Source organism: Homo sapiens, chromosome 19, assembly GCF_000001405.40.
Source record: "Homo sapiens chromosome 19, GRCh38.p14 Primary Assembly".
In the NCBI taxonomy this organism is placed as follows: domain Eukaryota; kingdom Metazoa; phylum Chordata; class Mammalia; order Primates; family Hominidae; genus Homo; species Homo sapiens.
Genome location: NC_000019.10, coordinates 5,889,903 through 5,912,756, shown reverse-complemented (window position 1 = coordinate 5,912,756; position 22,854 = coordinate 5,889,903). Strand labels below are relative to the sequence as shown.

Here is a 22,854-nt window from a genome sequence, read left to right as displayed (position 1 = left end):
GGTGTGTTCCTGTAATCCCACCTACTTGGAAGGCTGAGGCAGGAGGATCACTTGAGCCCGGGAGTTGGAGGCTGCAGTGAGCTATGATCGCACCACTGCACTCCAGCCTGGGTTACAGAGCAAGACGCCCGCCTCTTAAAAATAAGTAAATAAACTGGCCGGGCACGGTGGCTCACGCCTGTAATCCCAGCACTTTGGGAGGCCGAGGCGGGCAGATCATGAGGTCAGCAGTTCGAGACCAGCCTGGCCAACATGGTGAAACCCTGTCTCTACTATAAATACAAAAATTAGTCAGCCGGGTGCGGTGGCTCATGCCTGTAATCACAGCACTTTGGGAGGCCGAGGCAGACAGATCACCTGAGGTCAGGAGTTTGAGACCAGCCTGGCCAACATGGTGAAACCCTGTCTCTACTTAAAATACGAAAAACTAGCTGGGCGTGGTGGTATGTGCCTGTAATCCCAGCTACTCGGGAGGCTGAGGCAGGAGAATTGCATGAACCTGGGAAGCGGAGGTTGCAGTGAGCCGAGATCGTGCCATTGCACTCCAGACTGGGGGACAAGAGCAAGACTTTGTCTCAAAAAAAAAAAAAGAAAATTAGCCAGGTATGGTGGCGGGTGCCTGTAATCCCACCTACTCCAGAGGCTGAGGCAGGAGAATCACTTGAACCCAGGAGGCAGAGGTTGCAGTGAACCAAGACCATGCCACTGCACCACAGCCTGGGCGACAGAGTGAGACTCTGTCTCAAAAATAAATAAATAACTTAAAAAAAGAGGCCAGGGCTGGGCGCGGTGGCTCACAGCTGTAATCCCAGCACTTTGGGAGGCTGAGGTGGGCGGATCACTTGAGGTCAGGAGTTCAAGACCAGCCTGGCCAACATTTTGAAACCCCATCTCTACTAAAAAAAATAAATAGCTGGGCATGGTGGTGCATGCCTGTAATCCCAGCTACTCAGGAGGCCAAGGCAGGAGAATCACTTGAACCCTGGAGGCAGAGGTTGCAGTGAGCCTAGATCACACCACTGTACTTCAGCCTGGGTGGCAGGGTGGCAGAGCCAGACTCCGTCTCAAAAAAAAAAAAAAAAAAAAGTTGCCTTTGGAGTCTGAAACCAATCTGTAGGTTACAGGCATCCCAGCATCTTGATTCAGGCCACCACTGATGTAACATCATCAGTTTTATGAGAAATCATGGTGACATCTGGCTGCCAAAATCCTGGTGGCTCACTGCAATCCAGAATTATTTAAATAGGCAGAGAAATACTTTCATGTCTATGAGTGTTACAAGCAGCATTTTTTTTTCTGTGTAGAGAACTATAAAATATAACCACTATTACTGAAGTGCTGTTTTGGCATCTCATTTGTAAATGTTTAGTAAGAATTTCTTGGGAGGCCAATGCGGGAGGATCACTTGAGGCCAGGAGTTCAAGACCAGCCTGGGCAATGTAATGAGACCTTATCTCTAGAAAAAATGCAAAAACGCAGCCAGGCATGGTGGCATATGCCCATGGTCCCAGCTACTTGGCAGGCTGAGGTAGCATGATAGCTTGATCCCAGGATTTTTTTTTGAGACGGAGTCTCCCTCTGTCGCCCAAGCTGGAGTGCAGTGGTACAATCTCGGCTCACTACAGCCTCCATCTCCCGGGTTCAAGTGATTCTCCTGCCTCAACCTCCCGAGTATCTGGGATTACAGGCACGCGCCACCACACCCGGTTAATTTTTGTGTTTTTAGTAGAGACGGAGTTTCACCATGTTGGTCAGGCTGGTCTTGAACTCCTGGCCTCAGGTGATCCACCTGCCTTGGCCTCCCAAAGTGCTGAGATTATAGGTGTGAGCCACTGGCCCAGCCAAGACCAGGATTTTGAGGCTGCAGTGAGTTGTGATCACACCATTGCACTCCAGCCTGGGCAACAGTGAGACTTTGTCTCTTTAAAAAAAAAAGAAAGAAAGAAAGAAAACAGAATTTCAGCAATAACTTCCCCCAGAATTGGAAGTGGCCCTGGCCCTCCAGACCCGGAGTGTGTTCCCTTCACACCTCTGGGCCTCTGTTTGTTGTTGTTGTTGTTGTTGTTGTTGTTGTTGTTGTTTTCTTTGAGACTGAGTCTCACTCTGTCTCCCAGGCTGGAGTGCAGTGGTGCAATCTCCACTCACTGCAACCTCCGCCTCCCGGGTTCAGTAGCTGGGATTACAGGCACCCGCCACCAAGCCCGGCTAATTTTAGTATTTTTAGTAGAGACGGGGTTTCACCATGTTGGCCAGGGTGGTCTCGAACTCCTGACCTCAGGTGATCCACCCGCATCCCAAAGTGCTGGGATTACAGGCGTGAGACACCGCGCCCGGCCTGGGCCTCACTTTCCACAGCTGTAAAATGAGGACAAAGCCTGTGTCTACAGGGAAACTCGAAGATTAGATGCAATCGCTGTAGAGAGTGCTTGGCCTACACTCCCTAGATTCTACCTGGCCCAGCAGGACCCTACCAGGAGGCACAAATAACACAGAGGGCCTCCCTCTTGCCCCCAGGCCAGGAAATCATCCGGTTTATTCTTGAGCACAGACAGGCCCCAGCCTGCCTTTCCTTTGTACAAACAACCCCCCTCCTTGTTCATCCAGAGGAGAAAATGGGCCCATTGTTACTGCACTGAGGGGTCACTGTTGCCAGGCAGGCAGGCGGGCGCCATCCTGAAGGCCGTGGGTGGCCTCCGACCTTTCTGGTCTGAAACAGGCTGTGCCCCTCGCCGGTTCCTGGTGTGACAGTTCCTGAGTGAGGAGGTAGGGGAATGGCTGCCGACCAGGCCAGGGTGACAGGCTGGCCCAGAAAGGCACAGGAGTTTTCTCCTTTCCCTGGTTTGACAACAAGCAAAGCACCCTGAATGTCCTGGGCTAAGAAGGACAGCGCAGAAACAAGGAGTTCAAAAATATATTCTTTAGGGCGTATAAAAAGGAGACAGTTGCATGCTACAAAAGCTAGGCTAGGGCCGGGCGCGGTGGCTTACACCTATAACTGCAGCACTTTCGAAGGCCGAGGCGGGTGGATCACCTAAGGTCAGGAGTTTGAGACCAGCCTGGTCAACATGGTGAAACCCCCTCCCCTCCCCGGTCTCTACCAAAAATATAAAATATCCGGGTGTGGTGGTGGGCGCCTGTAATCCCAGCTACTCTGAAGGATGAGACAGGAGAATCGCTTGAACCTGGGAGGCGGAGGTTGCAGTTAGCCAAAATCGCACCACTGCACCCCAGCCAGGGCGACAGAGTGGGACTCTGTCTTAAAAAAAAAAAAACAAAAAACAGAAACTCACACCCTGGCTAAAGAGGGTGCCCTGAACTCCAGGCAAGCTTGGCCAAGTCTTGCCAGAAATCCAGATCTTTGTGTTTGCATTGCCAGGTTTTTAGCAAGGGTGACTGATTCAAAGCTTAAAAACAAACAAGAACACTTCTGTCTGGGTTAAACGTCTGCACCTGGCCTGTGGGCCTATTTGAAAACTTTTTGACTGTTCAGCCTGTTCTGATGCTTAGACAGGACTTTGGCTCTGCCGTAGGGTCCCCCTGCAGGGTGCTGGTGACTCCCAAGGACACTGACAGCAGTGGCTTTCTGTCTCCATTCTGTAATCTGCATTCCGGGCTCACACTGTGGTCCCAAACACTGCAGGCTGGAGGTGGTCCCTGTCCGCCTCTTCCCCAGTGCTGTTGTCAAGGGGTGGACCAGGCCCACCGGGGGGTGGGTGGCCGGGGTCACTGGCCGGCAGGGGCCCCAGGCGCTCAGCCTCAGCCAGGGCATCCAGCAGCCCAGCCAGGGGTGGCCGGCGGCGGCAGATGTCCTGCAGCAGCTCAGCCCGGGGCTGCAACTGCCTAATGAGCTCGTCCCTCTGGTGCACGGTGGCCTGCAGGCTGTGGACAGTGGCTTCTGAGGTCATCAGCTGCTCCTGGAGTGTGGCAATCTCACTGGCAGGAAGGCAAGAGGAGGTGATTACAGAACTGAGGACCACAGCACCTGCTCCTCCCTGCTCTGGACCCGCAAGAGGTTCCCCATCACCTTTGGGATAAAGCCCGCATTCCTCACCACTGCCTCAGGGTCCTCCCTGGTTATGAACAGAATGTTTCTTTGTTTTTATTATTATTATTATATTTTATTTTATTATTATTTTTTTTTGAGACGAAGTCTAGCTCTGTCGCCCAGGCTGGAGTGCAATGGTGCAATCTCAGCTCACTGCAACTTCCGGCTCCAGGGTTCAAGCAATTCTCCTGCCTCAGCCTCCCTAGTAGCTGGGATTACAGGTGCCCACCACTATGCCCGGCTAGTTTTTTGTATCTTCAGTAGAGATGGGGTTTCACCATGCTGGCCAGGCTGGTCTCGAACTCCTGACCACGTGATCCACCCGCCATGGCCTCTCAAAGTGCTGGGATTACAGGCGTGAGCCACCACGCCCAGCCTATTATTATAATTTCTGAGACAGTCTCGCTCTGTTGCCCAGGCTGGAGTTCAGTGCAACCTCTGCCTCCCAGGTTCAAACTGTCCTCCTCAACCTCCCGAGTAGCTGGGTTTACAGGCATGCGCCACCATGCCTGACTGATTTTTGTATTTTTAGTAGAGACAAGGTTTTGCCATGTTGGCCAGACTGGTCTTAAACTCCTGACCTCAAGTGATCCACCCGCCTTGGCCTCCCAAAGTACTGGGATTACAGGCTGAGCCACTGTACCCAGCCTGAACTGCATCTTTCTGTCTCCCCAAAATTCATATGATGAAGTCCTAACCCCAATGGGAGGTGTATTAGTCCATTCTCACGATGCTCTAAGGACATACCTGATACTGGGTGATTTATAAAGAGGTGTAATTGACTCACATTTCCACATGGCTGGGGGTGGCCTCGGGAAACTTACAATCATGATGGAAGGAACCTCTTTATAGGGCAGCAGGAGAGACAGTGAGAGACCAGCAAAGGGGGAATCCCTTATAAAACCATCAGATCTCCCTTATTGATTGAGACGGAATCTAGCTCTGTCATCCAGGCTGGAGTGCAGTGGTGTGATCTCGGCTCACTGCAACCTCCGCCTCCCGAGTTCAAGCAATTCTGCCTCCTCAGCCTCCCCAGTAGCTGGGACTGCAGGCGTGTGCCACCATGCCCAGCTAATTTTTTTTTTTTTTTTTTTTTTTTTTAGTAGAGACAGGGTTTCACCATGTTGGCCAGGCTGGTCTCAAATTCTTGACCTCAGGTGATCTGACCGCTTCGGCCTCCCAAAGTGCTGAGAGTATAGGCGTGAGCCATTGCGCCCAGCCATCAGATCTCATGAGAACTCACTCACTATCATGAGAATAGCATGAAGGGGAAACCATCCCCCATGATTCATTTACCTCCCACCAGTTCCTTCCACACCACGTGGGCATTATGGGATTACAATTCAAGCTGACATTTGGGTGGAAACACAAAGTCTAACCATAGCAGAAGGGTATTTAGAGATGGAGCTTTTTGGAGGTGATTAGGGTTAGATGAGGTTGTCAGGGTGGGGGTCTCTATGATGGGATTAGTGTGCTTATATGAAGAGATACAAAAGAACTCCCTGGCTCTCTCTGCCCTGTGAGGACACAGAGAGAAGCCAGAAATCTGCAAGCCCGGAAGAGGGCCCTCCCATAACCTGACCATGCTGGCACCCTGCTCTCGGACGTCCAGCCTCCAGAACGCTGAGAAACAAACCTCTTGTTTAAGCCACTTAATTTATGGCATTTTGTTTTTTTGTTTGTTTGAGACAGAGTCTCTCTCTGTTGCCCAGGCTGGAGTGCAGTGGCACAATTTCGGCTCACTGCAACTTCCGCCTCCTGGGTTCAAGCGATTCTCGTGCCTCAACCTCCCGAGTAGCTGGGACTACAGGCGTGTGCCACCACACCCAGCTAATTTTTTTGTATTTTTAGTAGAGACAGGGTTTCGCCATGTTGGCCAGGCTGGTCTCGAACTCCTGACCTCAGGTGATCTGCCTGCCTCAGCCTTCCAAAGTGCTGGGATTACAGGCGTGAGCCACCACCCAGCCAGTTTATGGCATTTTCTTATGAGAACCCTCATTTCGTCCCCTCACTCTTCCTGCAGTTCGTTCCTTTCCATTATCTTTTCCCACCTATTCTTAGTAGGCTCTTCCTCTGGGAAGCCTTCACTCTGAGATCCCTCAGAGCCCCATATGCCCCTCCATCATGGCCGCTGGCCACCAATGATGTAACTGCCCAGTGACATGTCTGTCTCTCCACTGGACTGTGGATACCCAATGGGCAAGGCTAAGTCTTACTGATGTGCTCCAGTACTCAGCAGAATGCCTGACACACAGTAGGTGCTCAATGAAGACGAATGAATGAGTGCCTGGCACAGAGCAGGTGCTCGGTAAAAATGAATATGTCCAATTAGCTCTGAAGTAATAGTTCCCACCTGGGACCCAGCTCCTCCCACCTCCCTGGGTGCCTGTCTCATCTCTTTCATCCTCAGCTGTCAGAGGGACTCTTCAACAATGCTGATATGGGCCAGCATGGTGGCTCGTGCCTATAATCCCAGCACTTCGGGAGGCTGAGGCAGGAGGATCACTTGAGCCCAGGAGTTCAAGGCCAGCCTAGGCAACATAGTCTGACCCCATTTCTAAAGGATTTTTTTTTTTAAATCAGCCAGGTGTGCTGTCGCACGCCTGTAATCCCAGCTACTTGAGAGGCTGAGGAGGGAGGGTGAGACTGCAGTGAGTCGAGATCGCACCACTGCATTCCAGCCTGGGCAACAGAGCAAGACCCTCTCTCAAAAATAATAGATAGGCATGGTGGCTTAGCCTGTAATCCCAGCACTTTGGAAGGGTGAGGTGGGAGGACTGCTTGAGCCCAGGAGTTCAAGACCAAACTGGGCAACAGGGCAAAACTGTCTCTACAAAAAAATACAAAAAATAAGCCATGCGTGGTGGTGGACGCCTGTAGTCCCAGCTGCTTGGGAGACTGAGGTGGGAGAATCACCTGAGCTCCGGAGGTCGAGGTGCACTCCAGCCTGGGCATAGGAGTGAGGCCCTGCCTCAAAAATAATAAATTTAGGCCGGGTGCGGTGGCTCACCCCTGTAATCCCAGCACTTTTAGGAGGCTGAGGCGGGCGGATCACCTGAGGTCAGGAGTTAGAGACCAGCCTGCACAACGTGACGAAAACCAGTCTCTACTAGAAATACAAAAAATCGACCGGGCGTGGTGGCGGGCGCCTGTAATCCCAGCTACACGGGAGGCTGAGGCAGGAGAATCGCTTGAATCTGGGAGGTGGAGGTTGCAGTGAGCTGAGATCACGCCACTGCACTCCAGCCTAGGCGACAAGAGCGAAACTCCGTCTCAAAAAAATAATAATAAATTTTAAAAGTTAAAATGCTGATATGATCCCCTCCTCCCCTGCTGAAGAGCCTGCTATGGCTCCCAATGCCTACGCTGGGCGGTCTGTGGTCCCTGCGTCGCTCAGCACCTGTGGGAAAGTGGGCCTGTTTGAAGTTAGAGGTCCACACCTGTGTCACTTCTCGCAACTTTACATACTGATTACTAATTCGAGTTTTTTGGTGTTTTTATCAATCCGATACTCAGTCTAGCGTCTATACAAGTGCACACGGTTCCCCCTGCCCTTCCTCGCTTTCCAGCCTCGGCTCTGCCTCCGCCTACCGCCTCGGTGAAGTCCACCTGGCCGGCCCCGGGCCTCACCGGTCCTTGGCGCGACCCAGTTCGTCTAGGGCGGCGCGCAGCTGCTGGTCGTGGAGGGCCAGGCGCTCGGCTTGGGCGTGCACCGTGCGCTCCGCCGCGTCCAGCCGCGCCTCCAGCTCCGCTGCGCGCCGGTGCACGGCTGCCAGGTGTGCGTTTGCCTCCCGGATCTGCAGGGCCGGCGGCGCCGACATGGCCCAGGCTGCTGTACAGGCCCGGCCACGCCCCCAGGCGGCCCGGAACTGGCACAGGCCCCGCCCCCGGGAGGGCCCCGCCCCACTAGACCTCGGCGCGATTGGTCGCTGACCCCGCTAGACCCCACCCCAGAGGGCTGGGTCGTGCTCTCCTCAAACCCAAACACTACCACCGGTTCCGGGATCATGAAACTCCGCCCCTGAGTTTGGGCTCACTCTAGGATTGGACAAGATCTTGACAGCCACGCCCCCAGGCTGGCCACATCCTTTGGCGGCTCGCGCAACTCAGGCTCTGGAAACAAGATTGGTCACACCTTCGATACTGTCCCCTCCCTACTTGGAAGCTAACACCAGGATTGGCCCGGACTCCGCGAAACAGCAAGCCTGACCACGCCCCCCGAACCTGTGGCCTGTCAGGGGTAGATCCAGGCACGGCCTCGCCCCTTCATCCCTTATACAGTCTCAGATTGGTCAAGTCCCTTTTAGGTTATGCCTCCAATTCTAGCCACGCCCCCAAGTCAAGCGCCTGTGTACTTCATCCGGCCTAGGGCGTGGGACAGCCGCGGGGTGAACAGAGGCCACGTCCCGCTGAGCTTCTCGTATTGTCATTGGTCACTTTCCCGATAATCCCCGCCCCTGATCCTGTCCACGGCCCAAAACAGTAGCACGCTGCTCAGACTCCAGCTTGGTGACTGACCACAGGGCATGACCACTCGCTATGCAGATTCTGACACTGGGTGTGGCCACATCCCCGCCATGCCCCGCCCCCCAGTCATTGTTTCGTCATGTCTTGCTCCTATCAACTGGAGTCCCGCCCGTCCCAGTCTGAGCCCGGCCCCTCCCCTAGTAGATAGTCCCCGCCTCTAGTAGTCCCTAACCTAGGACTCCCTGAGCTGGGACTAGCGAAATCTGTCTGCACTGATCGCAGTCGTCCTCAGTTTCACCCTCTAGGAATCGGCCTGGGGATGCACGTGCTACTCTCTTCCTCCAGGCCGGTCCCCGGCGCGTGCGCGCGATCCATGTCCATGTCCGCGCCTATCAATAAAGTTGCTCACTTGTTGCCGGCCCGCTAGCCCGAAAGGTTGCGCGCGCAGCCCGAGAAGTCTCGCGATAGCCAGCCGCGGCTGCCCTTGCGCTTCCCGAGCTGGCGGGGTCCGTGGTGCGGGATCGAGATTGCGGGCTATGGCGCCGAAGGTTTTTCGTCAGTACTGGGATATCCCCGATGGCACCGATTGCCACCGCAAAGCCTACAGCACCACCAGTATTGCCAGCGTCGCTGGTGAGCGCCGGCCGGGCCCCGAGGGTGGAGGGCCGAGGCCGCAGGGAGGTCGTGGGGTTACTGGGGGCTGTTTGGATCGAACGGGTCTGGGAGTCTCGCGGGTACGCACGTGGTTGTCATCGGGGTGTCTTGGGCGGTCGTAGGGGGGGATCTTGTGTGAAATGGATGTTGGTAGGGGGTCCAGCAGGGTTGGGGAGCACTGGGAGGTCGTGACATGCGACAAGCTAGTCCCTGGGGTCATCTGAGGCGGTCCCAAGCTATCGCCAGGCTCGGGGAAATTGTGGAGTGAGACAGGGCTATTATCAGGTCCAAGGAGCTAAGGGACCACGAGACTTTCCAACGGGGTAGAGATTGTTAGAGGGGATCATGAGTCATGATTGGGGCATCTGAGGGCGGTACAGATGTTTGAGAAAGTTTTGGGGTGGGATGAGGTCTTTCTGTGGTCAGGGGGTGCTGGGTGGTTAGGGACACCTGAAGCTTTTACTGGGACCGCCAGAGAGGTCCTAGGTGAGGTGGATCAGGAGCTACTATGAGGGTAGCCTTGCAGGGGAATGAAGGGGACCCGCAAGCCCTGGCATTCTCCTTTTTTTTTTTTTTTTTTGAGACAGAGCCTTGCTCTGTCGCCCGGGCTGGACTGCAGTGGCGAGATCTCGGCTCACTGCAACCTTCACGTCCCTGGTTCGAGCAATTCCCTTGCCTCAGCCTCCCAAGTAGCTGGGATTACGGGCTCACGCCACCGCGCCTGGCTAATTATTTTGTATTTTTAGTAGAGACGGGGTTTCACCGTGTTGGCCAGACTGATCTGGAACTCCTGGTCTCAGGCCATCCGCCCATCTCGGGCTCCCAAAGTGCTGGGATTACAGGCGTGAGCCACCATGCCCGGCCGGCCCTGGCATTCTCTTATAGAGTAAATCTGAGTCTTGCCCCTTCCAGCCTGAGCGTTTCATGGGCATCATGCCCTTTAATTCTCAGCCACAGGTTGGGACTCATCAGGTCCCAGATGGAGCTGGAAGTCCTCTTCCCTCTGATGAAGAATCTTTACAAACTGGGCCAGGCGCGGTGGCTCACACCTGTAATCCGGCGCTCAGGAGGCCAAAGTGGGAGGATCGCTTGAGGCCAGGAGTTCCAGACCAGCCTGGGCAAAATAGCAAGATCCCCATCTCTGCAAAAAAGTAAAACAATTAGCTGGGCATGATGGTGCGTACCTGTAGTCCCAGCTACTCAGGAGGCTGAGACAAGAGGATCACTTGAAACCAGGAGTTCAAGGCTCTAGTGAGCTATGTTTGCACCACTGCACCCCAGCCTGGGCGACAGAGCGAGACCTTGTCTCAAAAAATAAAAATAATAGGCCGGGCATGGTGGCTCACACCTGTAATCCCAGCACTTTGGGAGGCGGATCATGAGGTCAGGAGATTGAGACCATCCTGGCTAACACGGTGAAACCCCGTCTCTACTAAAAATACAAAAAATCAGCCAGGCATGATGGCGGGTGCCTGTAGTCCCAGCTACTTGGGAGGCTGAGGCAGGAGAATGGCGTGAATCCAGGAGGCAGAGGTTGCAGTGAGCCGAGATTGTGCCACTGCACTCCAGCCTGGGCGACAGAGTGAGACGCTGTCTCAAAAAACAAAACAAAACAAAACCAGCCGGGCGCGGTGGCTCACGCCTGTAGTCCCAGCACTTTGGGAGGCCGAGGCAGGTGGATCACGAGGTCAGGAGATCGAGACCATCCTGGCTAACACGGTGAAAACCCGTCTCTACTAAAAATACAAAAAAAATTAGCCGGGCGTGGTGGTGGACACCTGTAGTCCCAGATACTCAGGAGGCTGAGGAAGGAGAATGGCGTGAACCTGGGAGGCGGAGCTTGCAGTGAGCCGAGATTGCGCCTCTGCACTCCAGCCTGGGCGACAGAGCAAGACTCCGTCTCAAAAAGAAAAAAAAAAAAAAACCCAAAGAAACAGTCTTTACAACCTGGTGTGTCTATAAGCTGAGGAATCAATTTGGTCAACTCTGTATTTCCAGCATATGTGAAACAGGGCCCGGCCAAAGTTGCGGCTCCATTGGGAGGCATTTGAATTAGGGCAGACCTAATCATCACTCCCATATTTTGCATATTTATTAATAGTAAGACAGACGTTATTGTGTCTCCATTTCTTACAGGTAGGGACTGAAGGTTGGAGAAGCATATTAACTGCTCCAGGGTCATTTGAAGCTGGGCTGCAAGTCCAGGTCGGCTGACCTGCTCCTAGGGGTCTCTGAAGCAAGGAATGTTCCCATCAGGTCCTTATCGAGGGTCTTCAAGAGAAAGGGCTGAAGGGGGCCACCCAGGGGATAGGATCTGAAACTGAGAAAGACGCGTATGTTGGTGTTCATGTGAGAGAGTGTGTGCATTCCTCATGTGTGAATACAAAATGAGTGGGCTGCGGTCTCAGGAGGCCTTTGGAGGAGACAGCTTGTCTCGGGGTGTGGTGCTGCTGAGTGAAGGGCCTCTGAGACCGGGGGTGCTCCCCAGAGGGTCTTAGAAGGGGAGGTCAGAACTTTTGACAGAGTTGCCATGTCAGGAGATCGCTGATGGCATCAGATTTAGATTTAGGGGTGCTCAGTGGCTTCTGTGAGCCCTCCAAGGGTGCCCCGGGGTCTTTGAGAGTGACATTCATTCTCCCTAAATTTTTCTTTTTTCTTTTTTCTTTTTTTTTTTTTTTTTGAGACGGAGTCTCATTCTGTCACCCAGGCTGGAGTGCAGTGGTGCGATCTTGGCTTACTGCAACCTCTGCCTCCCAGCAATTCTTGTGTCTCAGCCTCCCAAGTAGCTGGGATTACAGGTGCCTGCCACCGTGCCTGGCTAATTTTTGTATTTTTAGTAGAGACAAGGTTTCGCCATGTTGGCCAGGCCGGTCTCAACCTCCTGACCTCAGGTGATCCGCCCGCCTTGGCCTCCCAAAGTGCTGGGATTACAGGCGTGAGCCACTGCACCCACCCTTCTCCCTAAATTCTTCAGTGACCAGCTCCACTCATTGTGCAGAACTTGCTGAAACGTGTTTCTGGGTCCTCCCCTCACTGCCCCACTCACTTCATTCCGGGGCTCCCCTCACTTCTCATCTGAGGGAGATAAATTGTTTCCTGGCTGGCTTCCCTGAGTTGGGGACCCTGGACGGCGGGGAGACTATACTCAGCAGAGCCCAGGACCTGTGGGCACATGATAACTATGGATGAATGAATGAATGAATGAATGAAGCATCTTGTGGGCACCATTTGTGAGTGAATGAATGAGTGAATGTGGCACCTTGTTAGGTACTCGGTAACTTTGTGAATGAATGAATGAGTGGCAGTAGCTGAATGAATGAATGAATTCACACTGGGTCTGGCGGTCACTGTGGGAGGCTCAGAGGAAACCAGCAGTTTCCCTTCAGAGGGAAGGGGGCCTTTTGAAGGGCGCTGGGGGCTCCTGGAGGGGTGGATATGGCAGGACACCACAGCTGGATGACAGCTGGGGCAGAGTTGGGGTGGGGCAGTCCTTGACCTCTATGGGATAATCAGGGGGTCCCAGCTCGTCCACTCCCAGTTCAAGGACTTTGGAAGGGATGGAGGATGGTGGGCGCACTCACCGTGTCAGGTGTGCTCCATGAGCTAGGGGTCCCTTGGTCAGGACAGCTGGCATGTGGGGGTGGTGTAAGGAGGTTCCGCCCAGGAGTCCCTCGGTGACAGTTCTGGGGGCGTCACTGAGTCTTGTCGGTGGTTCCCTCTTGAGATGAGAGGGTTATAAGACTGTCATGGCTGGCCCAGCCCTGGATCAGGACTTTTCAGGTCCCAGGCAGGGCTGGCAGTCCCCTCCCATTAAGAATCTTCAAGTCCGGGCATGGTTGCTCAGGCCTTTAATCCCAGCACTTTGGGAGGCTGAGGTGGGTGGATCACCTAAGGTCAGGAGTTTGAGACCAGCCTGGCCAACATGGTAAAACCCCGTCTCTACTAAAAATACAAAAAATAATAATAATAATAATTAGCTGGGCATGGTGGCAGGCGCCTGTAATCCCAGCTACTCAGGAGGCTGAGGTGGGAAAATTGAACCAAGGAGGCAGAGGTTGCAGTGAGCCAAGTTTGCACCACTGCACTCTAGCCTGGGCAACAGAGCAAGACTGTCTCAAAAAAAAAAAAAAAAAAAAAAAGAGTCCGGGCGCGGTGGCTCACGCCTGTAATCTCAGCACTTTTGGGAGGCCGAGGCGGGCGGATCACGAGGTCAGGAGATGGAGACCATCCTGGCTAACACGGTGAAACCCCGTCTCTACTAAAAATACAAAAAATTAGCCAGGCGTGGTGGCGGGCGCCTGTAGTCCCAGCTACTCGGGAGGCTGAGGCAGGAGAATGGTGTGAACCCAGGAGGCGGGGCTTGCAGTGAGCCGAGATAGCGCCACTGCACTCCAGCCTGGGCGACAGAGCGAGACTCTATCTCAAGAAAAAAAAAAAAAAAAGAATCTTCATAGACTCCAGCTCTCTTTCAATTAGTAAATACATAAAAGAATTTGGAAGGGGGGGATGTGTGTGTGTGTGTGTGTGCACTGACTGAAGTGTGACTGAGGATGGGGCTGCTGGGCCAGGAGCAGGTGGGGAGTCCTGGGGGGACGGCTGTACTGGACTCCAGTCCCTTACCGTGGATGCAGTAGCAACCCCCTTTCCTGCCACAGCCCCCAGACCTGGCACTCCGCTCCATCCACCTTTCTTTCTTTTTTTTTTTTTTTTTTATTTTGAGACGGAGTCTCACTCTGTCCCCCAGGCTGGAGTGCAGTGGCGCAATCTTGGCTCACTGCAGCCTCCGCTTCCTGGGTTCAAGTGGTTCTCCTGACTCAGCCTCCCAAGTAGCTGGGACTACAGATGTGTACCACCATGCCTGGCTAATTTTTGTATTTTTAGTAGAGAAGGGATTTCACCATGTCGGTCAGGCTGGTCTCAAACTCCTAACCTCAAATGATCCGCCCACCTTGGCCTCTTAAAGTGCTGGGATTACAGGCGTGAGCCACTGCGCCTGGTCCTCCATCCACCTTTCTGAGGTCGAGCAGGAATCCCAGGGGTTGGTGTAGGATTAGGAGAAACCAGATCCACAAGGTACTCTTTATATGTGGTCCCTTTCTCTGCATCCTGGGTCTCAGTTTCCCCATCTGTGCTTGTGGGGAGCAGATGGTCCCTCCTATGGGCTGCTCTGAATATGTGCTCACCCCACTGCTGGATGTGAGAGTCCCCTCAGTCGCTCTTGAGGGACAGAACCAACATGAGCTGAATTGGATCTGAGGCTAGGGTGCTGTTGGGGGGGGTCACTGCCAGGCCTGGCATGTCCCATGGGTCCCTTGAAGCTGGATGGGGAACTGGGGTGGAGCCCACTCCCCTGGGGCAGTCGTGGTGGGTGAAGCATAGGCTGTGGTCAGACCTGCCTGGCGTCCAGGCTCGCTGTGCTGGGTGACCTCTGGAGAATTGCTTTACATCTCGGAGGTCCCTTCACCTCCCGTGAAGGAGGGGATAACGGGACTGAGCCCATCGGGCCCCGAGAAGGATGAGGGCCCTTGTGGCCCATCCCTGGCAGTTCTGTTTTCTCTGGGATGGGCTGGCCCGAGGAGGTCCCTGCCTGCAACTGGGCTATGTTTCGAGGCTGTAGGGAGAGGGGGGTGCTTGTTTGCCCTGAGCAGTCAGGCAGAGGATTGGGGAGCCCCGGCTCGGGCTGGCTCAATCTGCCCATCCACCATAGAGGGGCTGGTGAAGCTGGGCGGGCTCTGGGAGGACGTGGCCCAAGGGACTGCCCAGCCTCACTCAGGACGCCCCTAGGCACCCAGCAGGGACGGTGGGCTGGGATCAAACCTCCGTCCCCACCACCTACCTGGCCCTGAGTTCTGGGCCCGGCCCCGGCCCAAGCTCCTCATGCATAGAAGCCAATGTCAGGGGCCAGGCGGCCTGGGAAATGGCAGAGATGGAAAAGCTGACCGGAGTGGCGAGGCTGGGTGGCGGGGGCGGCAGCCAGACAGCCAGGTGTGCAGGACGAGCCCAGGCCCGAGCTGCCAGCAGGAGGGGGTCGAGAGTGGCAAGGAGGAGGCGTTGGCAGCCAGGCAGGGAAGCAGAGCCACTGCCAAGGGGGATTAGGCCCAGGAGCCCCGGGCCCCACAGGAGAATAGAGCCATTGATGGGAACCTGGAGCTGGGGCCCTGGTGCCAGGGCCCGTGGGGGGCGCCGCTGAGCTGGCGGTGTGAGGCTGGAAGCAGCCGCAGAACTGAGGTCTCAGGCCTGTTCTTGTGTCCACCACGTGGATGAGTCTCCGTCTGCCGGCCGGTGCCCTGCCAGGGCCAGCATGGCTGATGGGCGCCCAGCAGGTGCTCTGCAGGAGCCAGTACTGGTCAGGCTTGAGAAAGTGGCCAAGGAAGGCCTGGCGGGGAGTGGGGAAGGAAGTGAGAGGCCCCCCAGTTTTGGAGCAGCAAACCCGAGTTCAAATCCAGCTCTGCCACTCAGCAGCCGGGGACACTATGGGCAAAGAAGGGGGGCATCGTGAGGACTGAGGGAGGGAGACCACCCAGTGGGGTGCCCGGCCAAGCAAGGGCTTAGCAGCAGTGGGGTCTGAACAGCCTCCCTCCTCTGTCTCGCAGGCCTGACCGCCGCTGCCTACAGAGTCACACTCAATCCTCCGGGCACCTTCCTTGAAGGAGTGGCTAAGGTTGGACAATACACGTTCACTGCAGGTGAGCACGCTGGGCTGGGCATGGCTGGGCCCTCTCCTGGCACAGCCCCAGCTCTCAGAGCACATTTGACGGCTGCCTCTTCTCTCTGACTCCCCAGCCCGTGTCCACAGTGCTGGCCATCCGGAGAAAGTGGGGTGTTCCTTTATCAGGAATACATGTAGGGTGGGGAGGCCCAGGAGAACAGCTCCAGGACTGGGGCCAGGAGGCTGCCATGCACAGCGAGCAGCCGACTCGTGGCATCTCTCTCCATCCAGACACTGGCAGTGAGCGCCCAAGAGGCTCCTGCTGTGCCCGTCTCGAGGCCCTTGCTCTTCCCGTCTACCCCGCAGCTGCTGTCGGGGCCGTGTTTGGCCTCACCACCTGCATCAGCGCCCATGTCCGCGAGAAGCCCGACGACCCCCTGAACTACTTCCTCGGTGGCTGCGCCGGAGGCCTGACTCTGGGAGCACGCAGTGAGTGGCCCCCTCCCCACCCCCACCCTCCTCCCAGCCTGGCAGAATGACCCCTGACCTCTGCTCATCCTCCACCCTCTCTGTTCCATCCCGGACAAGAAGTAAAGCAGCCTTCTTGAACACCAGCCATTTCAGTCATAGCGACAGCTGCTGCTGCTGCTTAAGCACCTACTGTGGCCCTCCCTGACCTGCCCTGTCCCCTCCCCACCCTCCCCTCCTCACTCTGCTCCAGCCACACGGGCCTCCTCACTGCTCCTCCCACATGCCAGGTACAGTCCTGCCCCAGGGCCTTTGCATGGGCAGTGCACTGCGTGGAATGCTGTTCCCCTCACTGTCCTGACCACCCTGTGTACAAGCCAGCATCCCCGCCGCCCTCGCTCTGTGCCGCCTTCCTTCTGTGTGCCTTGTCAGAGGACACAGGTCACCAAGGTCACCCCCTGTCTCTGCCACTGGCCTGTGAGTCAGAGAGGAGGATGGATGGAGTCTCGCCCTGCCATCTCTCTCCCTGCACCTGGAGCCCTGCAGGGGAGCTGCCCCCGCAACCTTCACTTTACAGAAAAGGGTATTAGGGCTCAGGGAGGGAATTAAGTGGCCCGAGGTCACCTGGAGGAGCAAGTGGCCTTCTTTGCAGCCATCAGAGGGTGCAGCCCTGGTGGAGAAGGCCACGCTTGGCACAGGGGAGCCCGTCTGGAGCATGAGCCAGACATCACTCCTGCCCTCCCATGGGCCCGGGCTCAGCGTCAGTGCCCGCCTGTGCCCCTGGCCTACCCCCAGCCCGCCAAGGCTCGGGCCCTCAGGGCCAGCGGGAGGAGTGAACGAGCCCTCTTGCAGCTCAGCCGCTCTGGCCTGGCATGTTGGGAGTGATGAATGGCAGGTTCCAGGCAGGCAGAGAGGGAGGGTGCGAGGGCAGGGCGTACGCCGTCACTGCTGTCTCTGCGTCAAGACCTTGGGGAGGCCTTGTCCCTCCCCAGCTCCCACTGGAACTGGTCAGAGGTTGCAGGTGGGTTGAGGTCTTGACTGTAGCCCAGCTCAGGCTGGAACTGCTCCCTGTCCCCAAGCCAGCCTCCCTGTCTCTCTTCAAAGAGTGTGAGTCCCTTTAGGTCCTGGTGTGTGGGGACACACCTCCTTCCTCCTCTGGCCCGGAGGCTTCGGAGCAGGAGAGCCTGGAGAAGTGGGGGCACTGTCGGGGCTCCTCGGTACACAGACCACGGGACAGATGCGTGGCCTGGCCCTGGCATCCATGGGCAAAGGAGAGACTGAGACACACCGATGTGTCACCATGGCCCGGTGCCCAGCCTTGCCCCAGCCCCAGCTGGGGGCAGCACGGTGTCCTCGCAGGGGGAAGTCAGTGTGGGGCGGGATGAGGACCCACAGCCTGGGTTCCTGCTGGGAAGCAACCTGGACTCCGGCCTCCCTCTGTGCATCAGTTTCCACATCTCCAGAGTCTAGGGCCCTCTTCCTGAGTGACTTAATCCCTGAAGAGAGTGTCCTGTCAGGGGTCTCAGTCTGGCTCCCAGGGTGGGCACCGGCCAGGGCGTGGAGCGTCTTGGTCCGGCCGAGCCCCACCCGGGCCTGACATCACCTCCCCACTCCCACAGCGCACAACTACGGGATTGGCGCCGCCGCCTGCGTGTACTTTGGCATAGCGGCCTCCCTGGTCAAGATGGGCCGGCTGGAGGGCTGGGAGGTGTTTGCAAAACCCAAGGTGTGAGCCCTGTGCCTGCCGGGACCTCCAGCCTGCAGAATGCGTCCAGAAATAAATTCTGTGTCTGTGTGTGTGTCAGTGTCCGGAGGGCTTGATGACGGCGACACAGCAGCCGGTGAGGGCGGATCTGGGAGGGAGTGAGGAAGGGAGATAAGATAAGGCCCCCTGCACACGCGCCTGCCTGCCGCCTGCCGTCCCTGCCAAGGGTACCAGCCTGGCCCCACAGAACTGGTAGTGCATCAGGCTGGGGCCATCGGGAGCCCAGGAGGGGAGACGGCTGGGATGCGCCCCAGCCTCTGCTTCCCCCAGTTCCCAGGGCAGGGCAGGAGCGTGCCAGTGACCTGCCAGCAAGTGGAAAATGGGCCCTGCCGCCCACAGCCCTTCCCTCAGCGCTGTGGGCTCTGGTCACAACCCCCCTGCAGATCTTGAGCCATCCTTTCTCTGGGCCTGTCCCCAAAGCCAACAACATGTGGAAAACACGCCCAGGCCCTGTCTCCAAATTCCTGGGCACTGGAGCGGAGAGCCCCGGACAGGCTGGTCCAGCAGCCGTCCCCATCCGGCAGGTCACTCGCAGCCCCTGGGGCTAGGGCAGAGCGGGACAGGACCCCCCTCAGCACCTGGCTGGTGGCAGCGACAAGGGAAAGAATTGCGATCCCTTCCTGCCACCTGTCAGGCCAGTGATTTAGGTGGCCCTGGAATGCTGGCACCACCCCGGGCCCCTTCTCCAGAACTGGCTCATGCTCCCTGGCAGCTGGAGAGGAAGCCTGCAAGCTCCCACATGCTGCGGTGGGCTGCAAATTAGGGCGCTCCAGGCTCCACCCAGGGGAGCGGAGCTGTGCACAGCCCTGGCTGGGATGGATCTGGGCCCTGCTGGTGGGCCGGGGACAGCAGGAACCGGCAGGGCTGGCTATGGCCCTCCTGACCCGTATCCGGCCCCATCTCTTCCCTTTTCTCAAGCCCATCCGCGGGGCCTAGATGTGAAAAGCCAAACTTCACTTTCAGCCTCATATCCTTCTCTGTCCACCCCCGAGTAGTAACTCAGCCTGGAACTCCCGGGCCCAAGCAATCCTCCCACCTCAGCCTCCCGAGTAGCCAGGACTATGGCCACCGCCACTATGCCTGGTTAATTTTTTTAAAAAATGTTGTAGGCTGGGCCTGGTGGTTTGAGCCTGTAATCTCAGCACTTTTGGAGGTTGAGGTGGGAGGATTGCTTGAGGCCAGGAGCTTGGAACCAGCCTGGGCAACGCAGTGAGACCCTGTCTCTACCAAAAATTCGTCTTTTTGAGACATAGTCTTGCTCTGTCTCTCAAGCTGGAGGGCAGTGGCAGGATCATGGCTCACTGGAACCTTGACCTTCCTGGCTTATGCGACTCTCTCATCTCAGCCTCCCTGGTAGCTGGGACTGCAGGTGTGCACCACTACAGCCAGCTAATTGTTTTTATTTTTATTTTTTGTAGAGACAGGATCTCACTGTGTTGTGCAGGCTGGTCTCAAACTCCTGGCCTCGAGCAGTCCTCACACCTCAGCCTCCCAGAGTGCTGGGATTATAGGCATGAGCCACTGTGTACAGAGATTCTGGGTCCCTTCTTCCAGCGCCTGCCTCGAAGTCCTCTCTGGAGAGAGCACAGATGTCCACGCGTGTTCCAGCACAAGGGGGGCATGCAACAGCTCAGGGTCACGTCCACTTCCGGAGCTGGGTGCCCGGGCCTCGGGCTCCCTGAGAAAGGGCGGACACACCCACCCCGCACCCAGAGGGGCAGGGGCCCTGACACCTGTCCAAGCCCTAATAGAGTCATTGTTAAACACTCTGGGTTCGAACCCCAGAACTTGATTCTTTCCTTGTTCTGTCCTCAGAGGACGGCAGCACCCAGGCCTCAGCTTTCCCACCTGGTAAATGGGAATAAGGGCCCCTCAGAGATGCCCCACAAAGAAAGACGATTCCACCTCCCTGCAGGCATCCCATCCACTCACGGGCATCGCATCCACTCGAGGGCACCGGCCTCTGTCTCTACTGCGGCCGGCAGGGGGCAGCGCCCACCACAGCACGGCCTGCTGGGCAGTGTGGACCCGGGCGGTCATCCCCAGGCCCCCAGCCCCGCGGTGACCACAGGCGTCAGATTCCATCCCTTCCTCCGCACTCCAGGCCTTGTCTGTCCCTCATCCCCCTTCCTTCCCATGCATCCTGCCCACCGCAGCCGGGAAGTGATGGCTTCTAGGAATGGGCAATACAGCCCCAAACCTCCAGCCAAGGACACCGAAGGCTGGACAGGAGGAAAGACTAGTCCACGTCCCCACGACGGTCACCCTCAGCCCTGCACCATGGCCGCTTCTGGGACTGGTTCCACGCAGGCCTCCGCCCCCTGCAAGCCCTTCCCCGGCCCTCCAGGCCCGTGTGCGGCCCAAACCCTGTACCAGATCTCTTAGCCCTCTTCCACGGATGCGCGCGCTGAGGCCCACCCTGGGTAGTGGAGCTTGAAATTTAAAGGCCGCACGCCCCTTCGCACCTCCCAGCCCCAGGTGCCTCCCTGTGTTCAAGGGAGCCGACGGCTCAGACCAGGAGCTGTGCTCGCCGCCCACCCAGCCCATTCCGGGCTAGCCGCCAGGGTTGGCGCAGGCCTGCCAGGCGCCCCCACCTCGCCTGCAGGACGGGCCCCCCAGAATGGAACACGAGGGGGTGGTCTCTTGCTGGGCTCCAGGGAACCCCAAAGCCGAGGCCCCCCGGCCCATAAACATTTACTAGGTTGTGGAGGGCTGACGTCACTCCCACCCCACACACAAGAGGGCCCCCGTCTGGAACATCGGTCCCAGCAGGCTCCCTGAGGGGCTGTGGGGGACCCTTCCTGAGTTTACCTTGAACTTCATGGAGCCCTTCCCAGCCCCAGGCAGTCAGGGCTGGAACTGAGGAGGGGCAGAGCCTCCCTGGGGAGCTAGGAGGGCTTCCTAGAGGAGGAGGCGGCACAGCAGAGAGGGCCCAAGGATGAAGAGGCTTTTCCATGTGTACCCAGCGGGAGGCTGGTCCAGGCAGAGCACACAGCAACAGCAGAGGCCTGCTGTGAGGGAGAGCAGTGGGCGATCAGGGGCCTCCTGGTCCAGGAGAGGTGCCTGGGGGCTGCAGGGCACACACTTGCTTCCCGAGAATCCATCCCTGGAGACACATCCCCAGCAGAGACAAGGCTCCAAGAACACCGGCCTGGCCCTGCGCCGTGGCTCAGGCCTGTAATCCCAGTACTTTGGGAGGCCGAGGCTGGGGGATCACTTGAGGTCAGGAGTTTCAGACCACCCTGGCCAACACAGTGAAACCCTGTCTCTACTATACAAAAATAAGCCAGGTGTGGTGGCAGGCACCTGTAATCCCAGCTACTTGGGAGGCTGAGGCATGAGAATCCCTTGAACCTGGGAGGTGGAGGTTGCAGTGAGCCGAGATCATGTCACTGTACTCCAGCCTGGGAGACAGTGAGCGAGACTTTGTATCAAAAATAAATAAATAAATAACGCTGGCCTGGGCTGGCGCTGACCCAGGCCCCGCCGCCGGGGGTCTCTAAGCTCTTGGGTGAGCCAAGAAAACATTCACAAGACAAAAAAAAGGGGGGTGGGGGTGGGGAACATCAAGCTTTTCCCACCTGCCAGGCAGGTGCAGTTGTTATTATTATTTTTGGCTCATTTTAGTCTGCGCAGCCGTGCGTGAGCTCTGTTAGGCATTAGTCCTATTTTACAGATGAGGAAACTGAGGCCCGGGAGGTGACTTCCCAGGGCCTGGCAGTAGCTAAAAGAAGTGTTACTTCTCCTAAGAATAGCTATTGTTTGGAAAATGGCAATTTGTTCCTTTAAGACTTTCTTAGTGGTCTTGGAGATTGGAGCGAAAACACCCCACTAAGGGCTGGGCGCGGTGGCTCACGCCTGTAATCCCAGCACTTTGGGAGGCCGAGGCGGGCGGATCACAAGGTCAGGAGATTGAGACCATCCTGACTAACACGGTGAAACCCTGTCTCTACTAAGAATACAAAAACAGTCTGGCATGGTGGCGGGCGTCTGTAGTCCCAGCTACTCGGGAGGCTGAGGCACGAGAATGGCGTGAACCCGGGAGGCGGAGCTTGCAGTGAGCCAAGATCACGCCACTGCACTCCAGCTTGGGCGACAGAGTGAGACTCCGTCTCAAAAAAAAAAAAAAAGAAAATACCTCACTGAGAAAGGAAGGTGTTTTCGCTGCCAACTTGAGCACAACTGTACTCCTTTAAACTTGTGTTGAGTGTGGGCTGTGGGCTCCTATAAATGTGTTTGACATGATTGGGGTGGGACACAGCTGAGAAGACCCCACGGGGCTGATGTGTGCCCCTCCTGGGACTGAAGAGCTGCTCCCGCCCTCCCCGCATCTCGAGCCCCTTTGCCTTCAGAATCTGTCCCAGATCTGCCTCTAGTCTGATTCCATCATCACGACAAGCGTAGTCCCCTCTGCCCTGGTCACCCGGCTACCCCCTGAGCCAGAAGGCGCCTGTGAGCCCCTAAGTCAGGTCCCGCCCCTCCCCTGCCCACAGTCCTCCATGGCTCCCACCCCACTTGGGGGAAAAGCCCAAATCCTCTCTACAGCCCACTATGCCCTGTGTGTCCCGACCCCTCCTCTCCCTCCCCTCCCTCTCCTCCCCTCCCCTCTTCACTGCTCCAGCCCCACCAGCCTCCTCACTCTTCCTCCAAAACCCCTGGCACAGTCCTGCCCTAGGGCCTTTGCATAGTCCATACCCTCTGCCTGCAATGCCTGTCCCCTAGATGTCCCCAAGCTCACCCCTCACCTCCTTCAATTCTCAGCTCACAAGCCACCTCCTCATCCCCCGTCCCCAGGCCACCAGCACT

At 56.7% G+C, this 22,854-nt stretch overlaps 2 protein-coding genes across 4 annotated transcripts, besides 8 other annotated features; one reads left to right on the top strand and one right to left on the bottom strand.

Moving 5' to 3' along the window:
• Positions 1 to 1,903: 1,903 nt before the first annotated feature.
• On the bottom strand, positions 1,904 to 7,885 carry VMAC (vimentin type intermediate filament associated coiled-coil protein). Its single transcript, NM_001017921.4, has 2 exons — positions 7,676 to 7,885; positions 1,904 to 3,933 (listed from the first exon to the last, which is right to left on the bottom strand). The coding sequence occupies exons 1-2, from the start codon at positions 7,864 to 7,866 to the stop codon at positions 3,615 to 3,617; spliced, it is 510 nt and encodes a 169-aa protein (NP_001017921.1). The 5' UTR covers positions 7,867 to 7,885; the 3' UTR covers positions 1,904 to 3,614.
• Positions 7,702 to 8,051: a silencer, noted in NCBI's record as "silent region_9938". NCBI's record gives its function as "represses an Ori minimal core promoter by ATAC-STARR-seq in GM12878 lymphoblastoid cells {active_cell/tissue: GM12878}" and the evidence as "EXISTENCE:reporter gene assay evidence [ECO:0000049][PMID:35858748]".
• Positions 8,092 to 8,211: an enhancer, noted in NCBI's record as "active region_13817". NCBI's record gives its function as "activates an Ori minimal core promoter by ATAC-STARR-seq in GM12878 lymphoblastoid cells {active_cell/tissue: GM12878}" and the evidence as "EXISTENCE:reporter gene assay evidence [ECO:0000049][PMID:35858748]".
• Positions 8,785 to 9,079: an enhancer, noted in NCBI's record as "tiled region #9916; HepG2 Activating DNase matched - State 1:Tss, and K562 Activating DNase unmatched - State 1:Tss". NCBI's record gives its function as "activates a minimal TATA promoter and a strong SV40 promoter by Sharpr-MPRA in HepG2 and K562 cells {active_cell/tissue: HepG2 | K562}" and the evidence as "EXISTENCE:reporter gene assay evidence [ECO:0000049][PMID:27701403]".
• Positions 8,785 to 9,535: a biological region, named in NCBI's record as "Sharpr-MPRA regulatory region 9916".
• Positions 8,889 to 9,535: an enhancer, noted in NCBI's record as "NANOG-H3K27ac-H3K4me1 hESC enhancer chr19:5903233-5903879 (GRCh37/hg19 assembly coordinates)". NCBI's record gives its function as "activates a minimal SCP1, AML or CMV promoter by ChIP-STARR-seq in primed H9 embryonic stem cells {active_cell/tissue: H9 hESC(primed)}" and the evidence as "EXISTENCE:reporter gene assay evidence [ECO:0000049][PMID:30033119]".
• Positions 8,967 to 21,528, top strand: NDUFA11 (NADH:ubiquinone oxidoreductase subunit A11). 3 transcript variants are annotated; one of them, NR_034166.3, is made up of 5 exons: positions 8,967 to 9,145; positions 11,303 to 11,422; positions 15,760 to 15,852; positions 16,182 to 16,304; positions 17,903 to 18,082. NR_034166.3 is itself a non-coding variant. In NM_001193375.3 (4 exons), exons 1-4 carry the CDS (start codon positions 9,049 to 9,051, stop codon positions 19,838 to 19,840), a joined length of 687 nt encoding a protein of 228 aa, NP_001180304.1. In that variant the 5' UTR covers positions 8,967 to 9,048; the 3' UTR covers positions 19,841 to 21,528. The 3 variants fall into 3 exon arrangements, 2 of the variants coding, with proteins under 2 accessions (NP_001180304.1, NP_783313.1); NM_001193375.3 differs by lacking the exons at positions 11,303 to 11,422; positions 17,903 to 18,082 and adding an exon at positions 19,467 to 21,528; NM_175614.5 differs by lacking the exon at positions 11,303 to 11,422.
• Positions 19,253 to 19,453: a silencer, noted in NCBI's record as "peak3300 fragment used in MPRA reporter construct". NCBI's record gives its function as "represses an SCP1 promoter by STARR-seq MPRAs in K562 erythroleukemia cells {active_cell/tissue: K562}" and the evidence as "EXISTENCE:reporter gene assay evidence [ECO:0000049][PMID:32103011]".
• Positions 19,695 to 20,501: an enhancer, noted in NCBI's record as "H3K27ac-H3K4me1 hESC enhancer chr19:5892267-5893073 (GRCh37/hg19 assembly coordinates)". NCBI's record gives its function as "activates a minimal SCP1, AML or CMV promoter by ChIP-STARR-seq in naive H9 embryonic stem cells {active_cell/tissue: H9 hESC(naive)}" and the evidence as "EXISTENCE:reporter gene assay evidence [ECO:0000049][PMID:30033119]".
• Positions 20,020 to 20,079: a silencer, noted in NCBI's record as "silent region_9937". NCBI's record gives its function as "represses an Ori minimal core promoter by ATAC-STARR-seq in GM12878 lymphoblastoid cells {active_cell/tissue: GM12878}" and the evidence as "EXISTENCE:reporter gene assay evidence [ECO:0000049][PMID:35858748]".